Raw genomic sequence first — 21,635 nt, forward strand, 5'->3', positions numbered from 1 at the left:
TTGAGGCAGGAACTTGTGATACCTGTTTCTGGAAATTGTGGAAGGAGAAGTTGAGATCTTAACCTTAGAGATAACATATCGTCTATGATTTTAAGGATGAGGAGTCAGACACACAGATCCTTCTGGTGGCTTACTCAAGATTATAATACAGACAGGAAGAAAGAAACAAAATTAGAACACCAACTTCATCCCAAGTACCGGCATGATACGATACTTACTCTAGTGTGTGTGCATGCGTGTATGTAAAAGAGACAGAGAGAGAGGCTCTGAAAGAAATAACAAAGGGTACTCAACAAAAAACATACTCCAAATTGTAATGAGATATACTTTTCCTATTTGTGTTTACTTGTGAACAAAGAAATTCACAATCTTTGTTTTTATCACAATCTTCTAATGTAATGTTTACGGAATAGTCTAGATTTTATTACCCAAATAGTTTGAAATAAGTCATAGTTTGAAAATGAGTTAAATTAAGTTATGATCTTTGAAGGATTTGCTCTTATATTGCCAAGAACTGCAACATTAACATTTTACCATAACATTACATAAAATCAGTTGGATGAAGGTTTTATTATTTCATTAATCTGCAGTAGTACAGTAGAGAAAATAAAATAGAAGAGCAAGGAACTGTTAAAGTTTTAACTACCTCTCACTTTTTTTACATTCTCTATGATGAGACAATTGTATTAGGGCCCTTACTTCTTATTAGTACGATAAATTAATGGTTTATAACCTTTGTTTTACTACTCAGGGAACACTTCATAAATCAACTATAATTACAAGCTAGAAAATAGCCTATAAAATGATTCTTTCTTCTGTATCCTTTCTCCTTCTCTGGAATTATAAATGTTGAAAATAATAAGCATTAGGAACCTAAGAGTACACCTTGAAACTATGTACATTCTGTTTGGAATCACCATATATATTCATATTATATTATATTATATTATATTATATTATATGTGTGTGTGTCTGTGTGTGTGTATTTCCTTTCTTCTTTTGTGCCAAACACATGCATACACACACGCCATATACATATATGACACATTTTTGTTATAAAAGTAGTATGTATCCTTGATAGGAAATTTGAAAAAGAAAAAAACTGAGGAAGAAAATACAATCTACCAGAATTGAACTACCTAAAGATAACTACTGAAAATATTTGGTGCGTATTCATTCACTTTGTTTTTAAAAATGATATTACATGTATTTGATCCTTACTCAGTGTGTCTTTCTCTCTTTCCACACTTAACTTCCTGAGGACAGGTGTCATGTCGCCGTGTTCTTTTGTATTTTTACATGTGTGCACATGTGTGTGTTTCACTATGACATCTCTTACAGGGTCTGGCACATAGTGTGTATGAAACTTGTGTTTGTTGAATGAATGAATGAATAAATGAACCTCCTACTGATGACCACATCTTCCCTTTGCAAATGAAGGTATCTGCAGTGCGTTTGGGTGATATGTGTGATAGTTTCTGCCTTTAGAGTAATTTTACATTTTTTCACTCAGCTTCATTATGCATGAAGAGTAATATCTTAGAGTACTATCTGGCACCTACTAATTGCTGATTAAAACTGACTAGGCCTATGCCTAATCCAACTTTGATTGCTTAGAAATCCATCTGTTTTCCTCTACTTCAAGTTTATTGATTGACTGATTCAACAAGCATTTACTGATCACCATATGAGTTCCCCCAAATTAGGCAAGGCAATTGCGATGGCTCACAGTCTGCTGGGGGAGAAACAGTCAGCTTTAAACTAATAAATAATCACAGGTTAGGATCCAGGTGCAAAGAGAGCAAATGGGACACTGCAGTAGTGAACTGGAGGGTTCCTGACCTAGACAGGGCAGTTGTCATGCAGGGCATTTCTGGGAGGGTCACATGCAGGCCCAGATCTGAAGGGTGAGAAGGAGCTGGGGACGTGCTGAGGCAGGACCAAGGGGCCCAGGGTGAGGGGCCCGAGTGTGCTGAGCCCCCGAGGTGAGGACATCCTGGGAGAACTGACAGGAGAGTAGGAGGGCTGGGGACAGAACCAGATGAGAACGGGAGACAGGGATGCTACAAAGCCATGTTTCTCAACCTTTATGTTTTCATTATTGCCCCACTAAGGAGAAAAACTGAGAGAATTAATAAAGAATTGAGTTCTGGGGAGGCAAAAATAACTTTGCTATTACAACAGTTTCTGACCTTCAAAGCTCAGTCCTGCTGGATAATATGAGGCCCCTAACAACTACTGAAAGAGGGGTGTTTGTGTCTGTTCCTACTGAGAGATCCAACTCCATATCTTCTATGTCAATATAAATTTCCCCAACTTCAAGATTATTTAGTCATTCGATAAGCATTTACTGAGCACGTATTATATGCCAGAAGCCTTGTAATTACTAACACGTTTTTCTTCTCAAGAACCAGTTGTACCCACTGGACAGGATCACCACAAGGAGAAGGTGTGTTTAGAGCTAAATGGTTCGGAACCAGTGGGACTTTATGTGTCAAAGTGCAGCATTCTATTTTAGGTTCAATGCATGCTACTGATAAGTTTTAGAGAGGGTAGAACATGACCTGATTTATGCTTTAAATGTAAAAAAGTGGTATTAGAGAGCAAGAACAGAGCTGGGAAACGAGTTCCCAAGCCAATGTGGCAGCTCAAGCAAGAGAGAGCCATGGTGGATGGGACAAGGGAGGAAGCCGAGAACACGAAGGGAGGGGAGAGGACCTCACCGTGGCAACAATGAAGGTGCTTGTTAAGTTACATTGACCTGAAGGTGGAATCTCTTTTAAAACCAAAATATTAATGTAGATCAGGAATATACTCAAGCTCTTTTAAAAAACGAACTTGCTCCATAAAATATGTTTGGAGCTCTAGATGATGGAAAAGACTCGGCCCTTTAGGGCTGAAAACAGAAGACAGTTCACAAAATTAGATGGGATTCTCAAAGCAAACGTGAGCACACCACAGGACAGACATATGCAGAATTAGGAAAGCAATGCCAGAACTTCTGAATAGCTACAAATAGTCCTAAAGATGCACTACATAAGATCAGATGTGCAGGATAAAAAACCATGGTATCATGTTTTTAGAAGAAAAGCACACATCAAAATATGTAAATGCCATCAACTTGGCAGATGACAATAGGACAAGGGCTCCCACACCCCAGGGAGTGCCAAAGGCCATGACCATGTTTGTGTTACTGTTTGGCCATTTATGACATACAGTCCCATGGGGCAAACCATTATTGACATGATGTAGGCCATTTTGTTAAAAAGAAAGATCAAATGTGTGCTCTGACTGAATATATTAACTTATCAAATACATTTTCCTCTGTGCTTTTGAAGCTAATTACCTTTGTTTGGGTGTGGCTTTGGTAAGCTTTTTCACAATGTGTCTCTTTGGGAGAAGTGATTTTCTTTAAGCACTCTTGACCATATCAATATGATTTCCATAATGAAATAACGTATAGAATTACATAGTGAGTCATTCACTAGTAAGCTCAAAATAGTAACTTTTATTCATCACTGCCTGCTATGCAGGTCATACTGTTCTAGGTAAGAATAATTAATTTTTCTTAAACTATAATTATATGTAATTCAAGCCAAACCACCTTCTTCAAATACCAGAAGATACAGTGCTCTATTAGATGTGTGTGGCTGTAATTATCTTTTCTGTGTTGAAGTTAAACTTCAGGAATAGTCTATTTATAACAAAGAGAACATGTATTTTCATATAAATGTATCCTTTGAGAACGTTTAAAAGTACATTCAGACATTCAGAGCCAGGCTGAACATTAGAATTTTTCTATTTAGTAGCTTTTCAAAGCAACCATGAAAATGTAGAGTGTGGAGGTATTAATAGTAAAATATTCACACACAAAAAAGTAATGGTCATTCTTAGAAATTTAACGAATGAAATGGGGGAAATGTGAATTCAGCCTGGAGAGGATGCCTTTAGTTCAATGGTTTCTTTACTGAGCTTGTTGAAAGGATAGACAATATTCTACTCATCCTTGTGGTCCCAGCATCTGTGCCCTGCTGGTATGAAGAAGGTGCTTGGCAAACATTTGATTTACGAATGGATACATGAATGAATGAATGAAGGTGAATGAATGAATGAACTAATGAGTGAATGGATGTTCAGAGCAGACAGATGGTAGGATGACGGATGAACAAATGTGAGAAAAGGAACATCAGGAAAAATATAAATATAATGCAACTGAGTGTTATGAGAAAATGATATTGATCCAGGAATGAATTATAGGTAAAGGCCTTTTCATGGCACACATGTAGAAATGTTGGGATTTTGAGATTTGTTTCCCTTGGAAGAGATGACCTGGTAGGCACAGAAACTGTTTCACATAGCAAAAATAGAACAGGGTTGTGAAGGAGCACAATGACATTCTGAGATCAGCAGGAAGGAAAGCAAATCTGAGGGGAGAACTCTGCAGACATCAGAACACATGAAAAGATTGTGTTGTTCATATCACCATCAATAAAGCTATTCTTAACAAACTGGGAACAGATTTACATTGCTGGGCACTTTAAAAAATACTAGGGCATTTTTCCAGAATACTGATATGTGAAAGATGTGACTACTTTTGATGCAACTACGATAGTACATATCCTTTGAAAAAGCTGGAAGTATTTACTAGACTAGGGCTGTTTTTAGAGCAAGAGGGGTTAACATTTTTAAAGATTAATTTTGTATGAAAATGAAGCATTTTAATTGCAGAAAAGAAGCTAGCATTCACAGTAAGACCTTTCTCATTAAAATATAATCTATGTTAATAAAATATTCCAATGATTGTAGACTTTTTTTTTTTTTTGAGACGGAGTCTTGCTCTGTTGCCCAGGCTGGAGTGCAGTGGCACAATCTCAGCTCACTGCAACCTCCGCCTCCCAGGTTCAAGCAATTCTCCTGCCTCAGCCTCCCAAGTAGCTGGGACTACAGGCACGTGCCACCACGCCCGGCTAATTTTTTGTATTTTTAGTAGAGACAGGGTTTCACCATGTTAGCCAGGATGGTCTCAATCTCCTGACCTCATGATCCACCCACCTCGGCCTCCCAAAGTGCTGGGATTACAGGCATGAGCCTCCATGCCCGGCCGATTGTAGACTTAAAAATAAAGGGATAGCATCTAACCCAATCCTGACAACAGTAATGATATTATTCAGTGAAAACTCCATTCATAAGAATGCTATGGGCCCTGTACAATATATAAAGAAGGTTCACATTGGTTTTCTGCTTCAGGAGAGTATACGGGAAGCTAAAATAATAGTAAATAGCATCTCTTTTAGAGAAATAAAAAAGGGTTAGCTCATATTATGGAGGGCTTTATAGGCAACATAAAATCATTGAAGTTTCTAGAAGACCAATAAATTGAAGTCAGTGTGCAAGGTGAGTTAAAAAGCAGATAAAGGAGAGATGATGAGTTAAATTCTAGATTTTAGTCGGTAATAATCCTATATCAGAGGTGATGGCACTGGAAATATGAAACTCAGCATCTTTGTTTCTTTAATCCTATTAGATGTATTTTAATAAAATAAATCAAATAGTTTAAATAAGTTGAAAATATTTAAGATTTAATTTTTGATGGCCGGGCATGGTGGCTCATGCCTATAATCCTAGCACTTTGGGAGGCCGAGGCAGGTGGTTCACCTGGGGTCAGGAGTTCGAGACCAGCCTGACCAACATGGAGAAACCCTGTTTCCACTAAAAATACAAAATTAGCCAGGCACGGTGGCGCATGCCTGTAATCCCAGCTACTCAGGAGGCTGAAGCAGGAGAATTGCTTGAACCTGGGAGAAGGAGGTTGTGGTGAGCCGAGATCATGCCATTGCACTCCAGCCTGGGCGAAACTCTGCCAAAAAAAAAATAATTTTTGTAGACAAATGAAATTTTAAATATCTGAGGTCATGTTATAGCAAGTGCTTATTCAAAGCATTTTTTAAAATTCTGCCTTCTCCATTGTACACATCCATTTACTTTCATTTCCTTCACCTTAATACATGTGAATTATGAGCTTTATACTTTTCCAACATTATCTGAGCTTATAAATATCTCACAGTTAAGTTGAATAGTCAGACAGATACACAAATAAGAAGAAAACCAGGACTTCAGTGCTACTGTAGAGATGTATACAAGGTACACTAGTGACATGGATGTACTACTGTAATTGATTTATTATTATAAGATACACACTAAACAGGAGAAAAATGAATTCCCACTTTGGATCAGAAAGCAATATGATATAGTTGGAGAGTAAGTAAGCTTGAATGTATTGAATAAGTTCTAGAAGCCTACTATACAACATTTCACTGCTATTTAACAACACTGCATTATATGCTTAAAATTTTATTAAGAGGCTAGATATCAGGCTAAGTGTTCTTACCGCAAATTTTAGAGGGAAGGTGAGGGAGGGAGGGATGGAGAGAGGAAGAAGGAAGGGAGGAAGGAAGGAAAAGAAGGAAGGAAGAGAGGGAGGAAGGGAGGGAGGAGACTAAAAGGGCCATACAATAAAAAAGTCTAATAAACCTTTCAAAGGCATTTGAACATCATCCTGAAAATCATTACAGGCCACTAAATAATTTTAGACAAGAAAGGAACATAATGAGATTGATATTTAGAAAGATCACGCTGAATATAGTTTAAAAAATGGACGCATGTAGACCCATGATAATTTATGGAGCTACTGAAATTATTCATAGAAGTAAACAGGAAGTGGGTTCTAGAAACCTCAATAGAACTTATGACTAAATGGGGACTGGGAGAAAAGCTGTAAACATACTTAGGTGATGCTTGGGGTTCTGGCTTGGGTGATGAGGTGATGACGACTCCATTAGCCTAGAAAGGCAAGAGTGGGTAGGGATGGATGAGATGGGAAAGTGTGGGAGAAATGACCTGTGGAAATCTTTAGGGCTTGAGGTGCTCAGGGAACACCCAGGTAGATGGTCCTTTTGGTCACTGAGCTAGAGAATCCAGGATAAGATGGAAACATATGAGTGAGGCTAGGGTGCCTATGAAACATCGACATAAATGTGTGCACAAGGAGATGGGCTCCATAGGTATGGACTCGGGGATAAGATGAGCTCTCACGAGCAGTCTGTATTGAAAGCTTTTGGAATAATGAACTTACCAGGAAGATGATGAAAAGTAAGAGGAGAATTCAGTGAAGAACTCTGAGGATAGCTAACTTTTCACTGGGGAGCAGCAACATAGCAGCTTTGGACAAACATTGGAACAGAGATGACAGACACACAGAGCAGGGGACCAGGTGAGCTTGTCAAAGAAGTTAAGCTTCAAGAAAAGAGAGTGACCCAGGGTCTTACTCCTGAAAATGTGGTCCACAGACCACCGTCACCGACATCATTTAGGAATGTGTTAGAAATGCAGAATGAATCACTGGCCCCATCCCAACCCACTGGAACAGAATCTACATTTTGACAAGATCCCAAGCGATTAATATGCATTTTTCAGTTTGAGACTTTATAGGATCAAGGGTGTGTGCTTCTTTTAGTCTGGAGCCTAGAGAGCTCCGATTCATCTTATCTCTGGCACTAACTTTCTGTGTGGACTGTGTGAATGTCATACGTCCTCTCTAAAACATACCTTTTTCTCTTGAAAACTGAAGAGGTTGATCAAGATGATTTCTGAGATCTAACTAGAACAGTGTGGGTTATGGGCACTCTGTTTCTTTGCACCTCCTTTGTAGATTATTAATCCTACTAGTGTAGTCTATTGTGGATATCACAAGTGCACATTTCCTTAGAGGAAATTGTACTATTATTCCGAAATAAATTCTATCCAATTTTCTATGTCTCCATAAGTAACTGAAGTGTTTTATGTTGTTTTAATTGACGTGTCCTTCTTCTGTCAAAGCAGAACCATGTGACCTGAGCTTTCTCCTTTACTTTACCTGCATGGGAAACAATTACTGATTGTATTTTTTAGTAGCAGTAAATGAGTAAACTAAATTAAGTGACACATACAATACAAATAATATATGCCTCTTCAACTCCCAAAGAATGCATAGATATAACAAAATGAGAGGCGTCACTATTTTTCTAAACTACCAATATGTAAGAAGAGTTCTACATTAGATGTTTTTCTCAATTTCATTAATATAGAGAGAAATGTGCATCATAGAAAAATATCAAAGGATAATAGCTATATTTTTCCTTTGTAAATGCTATTTCAAAAGTACTGCCAGAAACACTCAGCACTCCTAAAAATTGTCTTTTAAAAAAAAAGAAGTGCTCTACAGGTTCCCTTGAAGTCTCTACTAACACAGCTTCCGTGCCACCTACACTCTAGCACAACCACCGTTCCAGCATTTGTCTGTACCTCCACAGCCTACACCTCTCAAAAAAAAAAAAAAAAAAAAAAAAAAAACACCTAAAAATTGTAACAGTAATTGGAGCTTTGGAAGTCATCAATGACAATTTTGTTTAATCTTTTAAAATCTGTCACCTAACAAGAAAAAAAACCTAATGGTTTTCTAATAAAAATAGCGATGACTGTAATTCACAGATGGTTTACTTTTACAGGAGTCAGAATGACATTAACATTTTAATCTCAGCTAGGAACACTCTGCATCTAGCAGTGCACAGGGAGAGGGCTCAGTTGGAGAACATTTTAACCTCTCCTTTTCTCTGCTAGTGAGAAACATTCTTTGATGTGAGAATGCCACCAAAATGAAAAACGTAGGTGATCTGAACCTTTGGTCTAATTTTAATGAATCTTAATTTATTGGATTTGATATAACACTGTAAGACTGATTATACAGTAACATTCATTCCACAGGAAAAAAAAATCAAAAATGGTCAATAATTTTCTTTCGGTCAATGTCATTAATAGACAATGTAAATCCATGAAAATTCAGAATATATGTGATCTTATCTTTGTTTCCTGCTAAAGAAGGATTCTTAAATTTGTATCTTCATTAATCCCTAGCATCAGTGAAAGTAGAGAACTGTAAAGACTGCATTCAGAATGGTTTCTGAGGAAGAACTGCAAAATATTACTTAACTGCTAATTTCATTGCTTTCAGAAAGACCAAACATTTACTACAAGTATAGCATCTCAAAAAAACAAACAAACAAACAAACAAAAAACAGCAAAGTCAAACAAATGCTAAAACATCCAATGAGTATCTCCAAATATTGCCAACCCACAAATAAATTATATAGTACAAAACTATATGAAATAAAATGGTCCATTGGATACCCATAAAATATGCCCAAGTAGTTGATTGAAGAATTTTTTACAAAATAATCTGAATGTAATAGCAGCAAGCACAATACCCAGGCATTGCAACAAAGTGTTTAGCCATGTCTTGATAGGATGCTTGTATTGTGACTTCAGATCTCCAACCTCCACCGAGTGAATCCGAAGCCCAGAAGCCCCTCATACCTTACAAAGCCCTTGGTTGTACCTCAGCAGTGCAGATTTGCATAGGCTACATGAAAAACCCACCAGGGGATTGGAGGACAGATCCACCCTTCCAACTCCTACCATTGCGCATGTCTGCCTTCCTCTCATTTGTGCTTCGATTGCAACGCTGCTCCTTCCCAGCCATTATCCCAATCCGTGGCTCCCAGAAAGAAGTCCTTTTCTCCACCTCCAAACCTGGCCTGACATGCAGATCTGCCCTGTGAAACCATCAATCCACTTCTCAACTACCGACCATCAAGAACTTCCTGAAGTATCTAGTACATTCCAAGAAAAGTTCACTTCAACCTCTGTGTCTACTCTTCCTATAATTTACCCTCCATATCTGAACCAAAAGTATTTCCTGAATATACTCTATCCTGAGCTTCCCCTTTTCCCTACTTCCTTTGTCTGAGAGGAGGAGATGACAGGGTCAGCTAGTTCCTGGTTCCCCAGCCTATGGCTGCACCTAGCCATGGGTTGAGATAATGGGGATAATGGCTGGGAAGGAGCAGGGTTGGCAACTGAAGCACAAATGAGAGGAAGGCAGACACTTGCAATGGTAGGAGTTGGAAGGGTGGACCTGTTCTCCAGTCCCCTGGTGGGTTTTTGATGTAGTGATGCCTAAGCAAATCTGCACTGCTGAGGTACAACCAAGGGCTTTATAAGTTACAATGGGCTTCTGGGCTTCAGATTCACTTGATGGAGGTTGGAGATCTGAAGTCACAATACAAACTGGTAGGCCAGTTTCACCCCATGTTTCTTTTTCCTTTTATTTCCTCCATGACTTATTCTATCACCTGCCACCTTCTGTGACTTATTCTGGATTGCTGAATGACTCTAGGGTCTGACTTAAGTTTTCATTTGTCATCTTATCTCATTTTCACCCTAGAAGCTATCATCTGTCTCTGTGACTCACTTTATGCAAGGGCTTCACAATTCTTTATCTTCTGTTCTTTTTTTCTAATCTGAATTCATCCTGCCCACATCCCTGCCACTTGTGCATTTCAAGAATATATGTCCATATTCTTCAGGAGATGCAAATATATATAATATGCAAATATATATAATATATGCGTGTGTATATATGTATATATATATGTGTATATATGTATATGTGTATATATATGTATATATATGTATATATATGTATGTGTATATATGTATGTATATGTATATATATGTAATATATATGTATATATGTATGTATATATATATACACACACATATATATATAATGGTAAATATGTACAAAGCACTATAATAGGATAAATAATCATTTATAGGGTGCTCTGGGAACACAAATAGAAGGTGTCAAAGCCCTAAAGGAAGTGGAAAGGTGGATATCAAAACTCTAGTAATGGAGATGAGGTTTGATTTCAGTTGTAAAGGATAAAGAGGAGTTGGTCAACAGAGAAGCAGCAGTTGCAGAATCTTCCAAACCTAAATGATTAATTGGAGTATTTTGCCCTGCCTTGCCAATGACCAGCTCAATAATCCATTCTTAGACAGTTTTCAGAATTCAAGACAAATTTCAAGAAATATTTTTTTTAAATTTAGATCTGGTCCTCTTTATATTTCCCAGCATATCCAAATTGCTCCCAGGAGAATTTCCATGTTTTTCCTATAGTACTCTTCATGATGTAGCCACCAATTACAGATGTAGCCTCTTCCCTCATCTGTGTCCACATAACTGTACCCTCAGATGGTTTGCTGTCTTCTGGTTCTTGCCTTTCACATGCTAGTTTCTCTGTCTCACACCCATCATCTCAAGATGCCCTGGGAAATTCCTGCTTATCCCTCAAGACCAAATGGCTTAGAAAACATGCTTCTTACTGAACCCTGCCTGATCACACCTTGATCACTCTTTTTTCTCTAAAGCTGTTTCTTGGACATAACTCTATGTCCTGAGCATGGACAATTGCCAGAATCTGCTCACTGCTGACCTTCCCCAGTACACTATGTGCTCCATGAGGACAGAGGCCTCCTTCATATCCCCAGATCTAGCACAATGCTCAAGATAAACCTCCTTTGGGTTTTTGAATGGCTGTTAGAAATGCCACTGTAAGAGATCATACTCATTTTGTCCACCTCCTCTCCTGCTGAGGGTCTCCACTGAATTAAGAGAGGGGAACTAGAATCCTGTTCTCCTGTTTCCCTTCCACAGGTCTTTTAGGCATGTTGCTCTCCTTCCATGTTAATTCCCCTAATGATCATTATTGATCCCATCCATTGTGGAGCATCACCAGCCATCATTCCTTTGGAGTTTTGTTTTGGAACCCAGGTTTGGATGAATTTTGTCTTTGGGAGTTAGTCTCCCACAATGAGTTACATCCCACAATCAATGATGAACAGAGAGGTGACATGTTCCCTCCTTTCCAATGCCTGTCTCACAGATTTGTTCTGCAGAGCTCACAGACAGGACCAACTGTTCTTCCTGTCGACTGCCAAAATAAGTCAGCAGTTGGGAAGGAGAAAAAAAAGACTATGAATTATGGAAAATAACTGGGAAGATAAAATGGCAATACAATGAAAAAAAAAAGTAACAATCTCAGTAGCCACCCACTCATGTTACTGTCTCAAATTTCAACCAACTAAAAGAAACTAAACTAAATGAAGAAGAACATCTAGTCAACCAGAAGGCTTTGAAGTAGACCAGTAGTTAAGAGCTTTCCCCATTGATCTAACTAATTAGCCTGACTGTCATAATGCATGATTCAGTCAAAATCTTTGGCAAAACTGTGTTTTATTAAGACAACAGATCATGTAAGGGAAGAGTTAGGTGGAAAGGGGCAAAGTGACAAAGTGTGTTTGGAATAAACTCCATTTTCATATGAAATGGCTCATAAAACATCTCTGGCCAACCATTCTGAAGACAAGTCTGACCTATAAACCTTTCCCGTACCTGATGATGTGTACACACGTGCCAGCGTCTGGTGGTACTGTGATGTATGGCATAGGCTAGGGGGTGTTATCATTTTAATGTCCCCAGTTCATGCTTGAGAGCACACATGTTAGACTTCTCACTTTAATGGTGTTTGTCTCAAGTGCTAAGAATCTGATTATAAACTTATTGCAAGTAATACTTTCCCTTTATCTAACAGAATATCATCTCAGAGCTTCCTTGGCACACCACATTAGGATCCACCAGGCTCTCCTGCAATTACTTATGTCTGCTTCTCCTAAGAGACTATGAGTGCCTTCTATGTGAGGGGTATTCCTCACACCTACCTCGGTTCTGTGAATTCTTCAAATAAGCACAACACACAAGAGAATTACTTAAAAAGTGTATGAATGTGGCTTACAGCTATGTGTTAAGAATTTTCTTTGGCAGCTGTCTTTATCAATATCAGTACGTTTGGATAAGTTCTCATGCCACTAGAGCTTGTCATATAAACTGATTTCATGTCATGCTAAAATTTCTTTTTAAAAATTCTGGAAAAGTATGTTCATCCCTACTACTGTTTGTGCAAACATCCAGAAGATTGTTGCTCAAAGATGACTTTCTCATCTTTCTTGAGACTTTTAAACTTTAGTTCTGAAGTTCTATAATTGCAGTTGTACAAACATTTGATTTATAATAATATGTGGCATAGTGGGAAAAATTATAGAAGCAAAACAATTTTATGCATCAGCTTTATGTTTCGTTTGGTCTTTTGAGTATTTGTTTTTCTTTTTGTAAACTCAAACTCCCTGCTATGAGAAGAGGAAGGAAAGATTCTCTCTCTAGAATGGGAGAATCCATTCATGGGGATGCTCTTATCTTCTGACTGATAGTCAAGGCCAGTGTTTCTCTTTTGCACCACATGGTACAACCCACATCAGTAGTGTGTAACCATTTGAAAACAATGTTGACACATGCAGTAAACATACTTATTACAACAAAGCCTTTGGGATTTTGATTAAATGTAATAGTGTTTAAGAATCAGAGACATGTACTCTAATTTTCTGAGTTTGTTTCTTCTAATCCTCTGCTGGAAAAATATTTTGTCTGATTATTTTTCCATCATCATTTTGGTATCTTCATGCTGTTAAATGTTTCCCTGCTGTTTGCATTTTAGATGGGAGTCCGAAAAGTGTTTCTAAAATACTGGCATGCTGACCAACTCAATGATTTGTGCCTACAGTTGCAGAGAAAAATTATAACCTGCCAAAAAGGTAACATTTATATGCCAACATTTCTGAATTTATTTGAGTTGTGAAATGCAAAATCTTTTAGTGCATCCCCAAGTTTAAATGTCGATGGGGTCTGCACCCTAGTGGACCACTCTCTCGATTCCTGGATGCTATCTTCAGGCAAATAGTTTTTGGGTGTTTAGGAAGCATTGTGGCTTAGTTTGCTATGCAACCATCTCAAAATCAACATTTGCAGACATTGTTCATGTTTTAATTAGACATCCTTTTTCTGTGGGGCTCATTTGGATATGCCCCTATGTGAATCTCTAATGGGTCTTTTCATTTTCTGATAATAAAAAGTCCACCTGTAATCCCAGTTACTCAGGAGGCTGAGGCAGGAGGATCCCTTGAGGCCAGGAGTTCAAGACCAGCCTGGGCAACATAGTGAGATCCCCATCTCTCAAAAAATGTCTTAATTAGTCAAGCATGGTGGGACGCAACAATAGTCCCAGCTACTCAGGAGACTGAAGTGAAGAATTCCTTGAGGTCAGGAGTTCCAGCCTGCAGTGAGCCGTGTTTCTACCACTGCACAGCAACCTGGGTGCCAGAGCGAGATCCCACCTCTAAAAGAAAAAAAATCAAAATTTAGAAAAATAAATAAAATAAGAAGCCCTGTTACATGCTAGTCCCTTGAACAGTCTCTGTTCAGATTTTAACACATCCAGCTCAAATAATGATCAAAATTCTGAACTTCATTCTAAGTTAAAACATCCTTCTTGGCTGTTCCAGGCCTGTCCCATCCTTACTGGGCATGGGACTGATCCCTACCTACTCAGGTTGCCTCTGGGTCTTCCAGGGTTAATGAGGAGGGGAAGAGGTAAGGAGGTGTCTTCTGATGAAGGTAAAAAGTCTTCTAACGATAAAAAGACCTGCTTATGGCAGGTGTTCTGATGACACAGGTGTACTATGGCGCTGGTCTCCTCCAGCTGGGGCAGACTTCAACAGCTCTCCACATATTCAGGAGCACTTCAGGGACTTCCTTCTCTAACTGGCAACATCCTCCTTTGGCCGGTCATTTGTAACTCACCCCTCAGCCCCTGGGCACCTTGCAGACCCTCTGTTGGAGTCTCATTGTTCTCTCAGTACACATTCTTTGTGAAAACCACATCTGGTGCCCAAGAAACAAACTCTTAGATGGCTTCCTAGGTGCAGCTTTTCTCTAACAGAGCCTGTGTTTCCATGCAGGGGCCTGGCAGGAGCCATTGCCACAGCCCTGGCCTCAGAGATATCACAGTGCACAGTGGCCCCAAACCCCCAGGAGCCACATACCAAGATCTCTGGGTGGCCTCCTGAAACCACTTTCACCAGGCTGAGGCAAGGGGAAGCCTTGGACAAGAGAGGGCCAACTGCTACCTCTTGGTAAAGGAGGCATCATCTTTCTAGTGTGTGATGACCTGGCTGCTAACTCTTGGTAAAGGAGGCATCGTCTTTCTAGTGTGTGATGACCTGGCCTTCTTAACTTCAACCTTCATCAGTGCAGGGGAGAGGGCGGGCTACAGGGCTGTTTTGGATCATCCCCTTGCAAGTCCTATTTGCATGTTTGGCCCTGCCCCAACCCATGTGTCCCTGGAACACCAGCGACACCAACATCGCCAGGGATCTGGCTAGCACAGCAATGCCTCAGGCCCCACCCAGGACCTGTGGCATCCAGAGCTTTATCTGCAGCCTTAGCTGAAACTGGGACAGGGAGAGTCTCATTTAATCTAACGCTAAAGACAGAACAGGGTATCACAAATTCTCCTGAAAACTTCCCTTAAATATAATGATAAGAAATTTTGCCCCATTAGAAATTTCTGTTCTATTTAACAAAGATTAAATTTCTATACCCTATTGACCTGGAACAGAAAAAATGAACAGAACTGTAATTACTTGTTCACTTTTCTAAAGATAAAAATTAAGAATGGTCTTAAAAGGTCGGGCGCAGTGGCTCACGCCTGTATTCTCAGCACTTTGGGAGGCCGAGGCAGGCGGATCACCTGTGGTTAGGAGTTTGAGACCAGCCTGGCCAACATAGTGAAACCCCGTCTCTACTAAAAATACAAAATTAGCCGGGCATGGTAGCGCATGCCTGTAATCCCAGCTACTCGGGAGGCTAAGGCAGGAGAACCACTTGAACCCAGGAGGCAGAGGTTGCGGTGAGCCAAGATCGTGGAGATCATGCCATTGCACTCCAGCCTGGCAACAAGAGTGAAACTCTGTCTCAAAAAAAAAAAAAAAAATGGTCTTAAAAAATTACATCAAGATAGAAACCATAATCTCATATTGCATAAATGAAATAATGGATATGAGTATTTTTTAATTACAGGCTTGTAAATGCAAAGCATTAATTATTGATTTTTATTTTCATAGCTCTTAAAACAGTTCCCTCAATGCTTTTTGCTAATATTAAATTTACTCAAAATTTATATAATCTGGAACCATTTCCAGTTGTTGTTTTAAGAATTCTATATTTTTCTTTAAAAATGTCCAGGGGAAAGAAAGCTGTAACTTTTAGTTTTAAATTTAATCATTTTAATTTAAAATTATTCCTACCAGAAGTTTTTTCTCTGACTCTATATGCTCATTTTATCCTGGATGAAAAATATCTGTAAATTAAGACCTTACATGGGCGGTATCTTAGAAGCAGTCTTCTGAATTTGTCTGAAAGACAACAAACATCAACATCCATTAGTGGCAATTTTATTTTTACCAGTTGCCCCTTATTGAAGATATCAATATTTAGCAACTGGTGTAACATTTTTAAAGAATTTTAAAAGGCTATTGGGATGAAGTGTGAGAAAATGAGGTCTTCCGGAGGCGGGACAATAGACTCCGGGTGAAAGTGAATCCAGTGAATAGCTGTGCTGTAGTGGGAGGTCAGGAGAAGTCTGGCACATCCACATTAATCTTCTCTTTATTCCAAGAGATTAAACATCTTGAAAATACTCTCTCTTTCACCCTTCCGAAAGCCAATGTCTCCCTTTTTTTTTAGTGTAACAAGAAAGAACGAGTGAACAGGCCAATTTCAAGTCTTCTGCCTTTTTCGCGCTCAAGGTGCCCATCACATGGTTCATACGTCTCCACTTTACTCCACATTTTATATTCCTGGAAGTCTGACTGTGCCTCATACTGTTTAACATTTTTCCTTTAGGTTACTTCAGAATGACTGTTTTACAGTTAACTTAATGCAACTGCATTCCAACATAACTAAACCTTTAGTAGTGCCATCTGAAAAAAACGCTTTCAGCATTTCAGATATCCACATATTATTTTCCTGTTCAGCCATCATAGTAGAACGTTCTGTTCAGCTTTCTACCAGCTACTCAAGTAAACACATCAAAGTTAATATCATAGGTACCCCTCATATTTATTATTTTATAACCATGAACTATTTTAAAGCACTTAATATTTTATAGGCTTCCTCCTTTCCCAAGGGCAAAAATAAAGTGTCTTTGCTGCAGACATTGGCTTTCCTGAAATTATAACTCTTCTATAATCTTAATCAACTCCTTGTAATCCTAGAAACTTTTAAAATTGGGAGAGACAGAATCACAAAGTTTGAAAAGACTCTAATCAGAATTCCTCTACCTGCACTTGTCCACTTCACCCATGAGAAGGCGTCACTGTGCTGGCCTTGTACACACTCAGGGCCCAGGAAGCAACTCTTTCATGAGGCAGCCTGATCCACTTCCACCCTGTGCTAATTGTTAGAAAGTTCTTTCTAACACTGATTGCAAATATGCTTCCCTGTGACTTTCTTGGTTGCTGATCTGCCCCCTGGAGAGTGAGAGATTATGTCTGTGTAACTGCAGGCTAAGGAAATGTAGTTTGACCTCCTAAGCTTGGGGACATATGAGCCCGGGCTCTACTATTCCTTGGTTGTGTTGACCTGGAGGAACTTTCTTAGTTTTACTAAGAGAAGTGCCATTGTGTCTGAAATTGAGATAGCGGTATATTTTGTCATTGAGTTTCAGAATTGAATGACGCAATAGAGTGTCTTACAGAGGTCCCTTTAAATGGTGGTCTTTTATTTTTAATTCTTGTATTTGTTACTGACATATTGATTTCAAAGCATTTTCACTCATTTCCCCCAACTTTTACACATTTTTCTAGCCGTCCTTTCCCAGAGAGCAGGATGGATGTCCTATATTTATACACAATCTTTTTCCAGAGTCTTAAATATAGTGTTAATTTCTCTAAGAATTAAATCATAATCTTAGAAACAATATATGCATGATATTTCCAAAGACAAACCCCATAAGCCTTAGGTGTTTATGTAATAATGTGATGTAATGAAAGATGATCCGCACATCCCAAAATGCTGCAGTTGGAGGCACACCCCAAAATTCTGTGGGATTTAGACCTAGTTCTTTCCCACTGATTTAACTCCAGTCCATCAAAGTCCAGCTTGTGTTACCAAAAACAATGTGGAGGCCTTTATCATCAATATATTGCCTGCAAGATCTCATTCAAGTCAAAGAGCTTTGCCTTTAGTGTTATCACTGCTGATTTAGATAAAGTCTTATTCTGGGTTAAATGTACCTTATTCTACAACTGCTCAGAGATAAGTATATTATGATTTTTGTTTGTGCATGTCTGAGTTTTTCACTTTTCCTCCATTTACTAACCCATGATCCTTCTATAAAAGTTATCAGAGGATTTTTAGCACGCCAGCACCTGCTTCAGAGAATAAGCATCAGACAACAAGAGGTGACTTCTATCAATAGCTTTCTGCAGAACACAGAGGACATGGGGCTGAAAACCTACGATGCCCTGGTCATTCAGAATGCTTCAGACATTGCCCGGGAAAATGACCGGCTCCGTAGTGAAATGAACGCTCCCTACCATAAAGAGAAGTTAGAGGTCAGGAACATGCAAGAGGAAGGAAGCAAAAGGTAAAGGCAGAGAGCATGCAATTTTAATTACCTTTGTGATTGGTTCAGTGGAGTCATGAAAATTCAAATAGCCCTTAATGCAGAGTTCAATCAAATATGACAGGAGTTGCAGGAACAGGCATGCGTGGTTTGTTATTCGAAATGGCAGCAGTCTAAAAAGATGCTTTCCTGTGCTGTCTTCTCACGAGTTCAAGGCTTTCTGTGTTCCTTCATTCATATGTGATGATGACTGCCTCTCCTGCCATGCTTGTGTCACTTAACTACCTCAAGCACACTCTAGTTCTAAAGCATTTACTGTTTCTGTATTAGCAAAAATATATAGCTTGGCTGTTGACATTTTTACACAAGCGTTACGGATATAAGGCTGGCTTATAGAAACTTCTGGAAATCTGACCCAAAAAATGGAGATACCACTCTGAAAACATGGAAGAAGTGAACTCAATAGATAGATTGTAAGTGTATTATATATCCCTGTGTAAACTGTCACGTCTCTCTTTACCAATAAAGCAAGCTTTGGGGAAAGCTTTGTATTTAAAAGTTCACTTTAGAGGCTTAGCTTAAAACAGAAATGTGACGATCACCTGGTCCCTCTCCATTTGATCACTCTCCTCTCTCTGTGAATGATGAAGACACCCGTGAATCACAACACCCCTAAGAGGGAGGGCAAGGAGCTGCTTCCTTTGGACCTTAATTCATCGTCAGGGAGATGTTTGTTTTGCTATAGAAACTTGGTAATATCTTGTTGTTTCTCACTGAAAATGACTCTCCTTTCCCATTTCTGCCGATGTCAATTTTTTTTTATTAAAGTGGAAATGGCAATGTGTATCTTGTTAATTAGCTTCAAATATCTCAGTGATTAAATACTGAAAAAAATCCCCTTTGTACAGAAAAAAAGACTGTAATTAAACATTACAGGAAAAACAAATTATCCACTGAGTGCCATGCTTTCATCTTCAGCTATTTCATTTTCTACATGGGCGGCTGGCTCTGCCTTGTGGTAGATTCTAGCCCTGTTGGTGTTCTGCCACAGAAAGATATAATTATAAAAACAAACGCTTGGAAACTCCTTGTAGAATGAATGCATTGGCATCTTGCTAGCACATGATTACGTTGACATGCGAAGCCAGAAGAAGTTTTTTTAAGCAAGATAACTATTAATTTTATATGACTTCCAAAATAATATTTATTATTTTCTCTGCTGGAACTAAACGGCCACCCCAATTTCTCAATTTGATTATGTATGTATTTTCCTGATACAAAATTAAGTGAAGAAGTATTTGTCTGTTTATTTACTGAATACCAGCAGTTTACTTGGCACTGGACAACCATATGGAGTCAAGGAGGAGAAATAATAGCTCTGCACATAATTAAATAATTTCTGGTAGAATTTAAGAGGCAAGAAAGAGAGTAATGGGGAGAAGGAGAACACTGAAATGTAAATTTCTGAGAGTTTTAAGTAGAGTCTATCCTCTTGCGAGGGGAAATGGTGATGAACTCCCAGCATTTGATGCATCAGTAACTCTCTATTAAGATGGATTTGCCAGAAATTATCATTCAGATTGAAATTCTGGTTTTTTGATTTGCTTAATAATCAGAGTGTGAAGAATTCATTCAGTGAGTGCCTGATGGAAAATGCGAAGGCCCTTAAGTAGTGTTGCGTTTGTGTGAGAATGTTTAAAAAGTAATCATGATGGATATCCCGCGGGCTCATGTGCTTTTCATCACAAAGCCGGAGCCAGAGGACGGGTGGCCTTCTCTGGACCAACTGGTCACCAGAGGGCTGCACACGTCCTCCAGCCACAGCAGGAAGGGCTGCTTGCCAAAAAGCCGTCATTATGTCTGCTTGAGCAGGTTCCTTGTTACCGGAATAATGCATCTGGGCCTCTCTGGCGTGGTGCTGTTTGTGTTTTGTTTCCCCCTAAGAACCGATGACAAGAGTGGACCCAGGCATTTCCACCCCAGCTCCATGTCAGTCTGCGCGGCCGTGGATGGCCTGGGCCAGTGCCTCGTTGGCCCGTCCATCTGGTCTCCTTCGCTGCACTCGGTGTTCAGCATGGATGACAGCAGCAGCCTCCCGTCTCCACGGAAACAGCCCCCGCCCAAGCCAAAGAGGGACCCCAACACCCGGCTGAGTGCTTCCTATGAGGCTGTGAGCGCCTGCCTCTCCGCGGCCAGGGAAGCGGCCAACGAAGGTCAGCCCTGGGGAGGGACCCAGCCTCGTGTTCCGGGCTCGCGCATGCTCTGACTTCGCCTTGGGGCGCCCATGGCAGTACTGTCGCCCTAATGTATTCTTAATAGAAATAAATCCAATTGTTGGCTTGCCAGCAGCTCTTAATCATTAAATATAAATAATATTTATTCAAATCTCTAAGCCTCTTAGGGAAAAGCTACTTACATGGCATTTCCTTAACTCCCATCCCCACCCTGCCTCCAAAGAGCAGTATCAAATCAATTCAGAAAGTCGGCAGCTATTCCATGTAAAGGTTCACCAATGAGAAAGTAAAAAAAAAAAAAAAAAAACTGCTTCAGGCATTCCAGTTATCACAATCTAATAAAAAATTAAGACTGCTTCATCATATGATAAGTGAAATTATTTACCCATAGGAGAGTCATCGTGCAGGAAACTTCTGTTAGGAAAACTTTTGAGACTAGATTATAAAAGTTTCTGCATCCATTGTCTAGAAACAGGGATGCTCAAAAGGGAACATAGCAGTTTCTTCTCAGCCAGATCTCATAGATCAGTAATGAGACAATTACTGTTTAAATATTAATTTTAAGAATGGTGAAAAATAAAGGAAGTGCTTCTTAGCGGAACACTTAGAATTTAACAGATTCTATTGATCACCCGCTATGCATCAGGCTCTATTCTAGGCATGTCTGTCTCTTTCTTCATGGAGTTTACATTCTAGTGCGGCAAAACAGATGGTAAACATAATACAACAGTAAATACTTTAGAACTGGATTGTTGCTGCTGAGAGAAATACATAGACCCAGGGTAGTAGTACAGGATGGAAGAGAGGTTGAGATTCTAAATGAAACGGCTGGGTAGAACTCGCTAGAAAATAATATCTGAGAACATAAGATGAAACACAGTTCCTTCAGTAAATAAATGACCCCAAATACAAAAACACAGCAAATCCATAAGCTCAAACGTTGGGA

General features: G+C 39.2%; 1 protein-coding gene across 7 annotated transcripts in view; it reads left to right on the plus strand.

Moving 5' to 3' along the window:
* MYO16 (myosin XVI) overlaps window positions 1–21,635 on the plus strand; it is a 712,290-nt gene that overhangs the window by 611,167 nt on the left and 79,488 nt on the right. For all 7 annotated transcript variants that reach the window (XM_011521062.2, XM_047430183.1, NM_015011.3 and 4 more), the window contains 3 exons: window positions 13,488–13,584; window positions 18,230–18,476; window positions 20,400–20,668. In XM_011521062.2, the coding sequence (XP_011519364.1) occupies window positions 13,488–13,584; window positions 18,230–18,476; window positions 20,400–20,668 (613 nt within the window). The remainder of the gene's footprint in view (window positions 1–13,487; window positions 13,585–18,229; window positions 18,477–20,399; window positions 20,669–21,635) is intronic.

Source organism: Homo sapiens, chromosome 13 (assembly GCF_000001405.40).
Source record: "Homo sapiens chromosome 13, GRCh38.p14 Primary Assembly".
In the NCBI taxonomy this organism is placed as follows: Eukaryota; Metazoa; Chordata; class Mammalia; order Primates; family Hominidae; genus Homo; species Homo sapiens.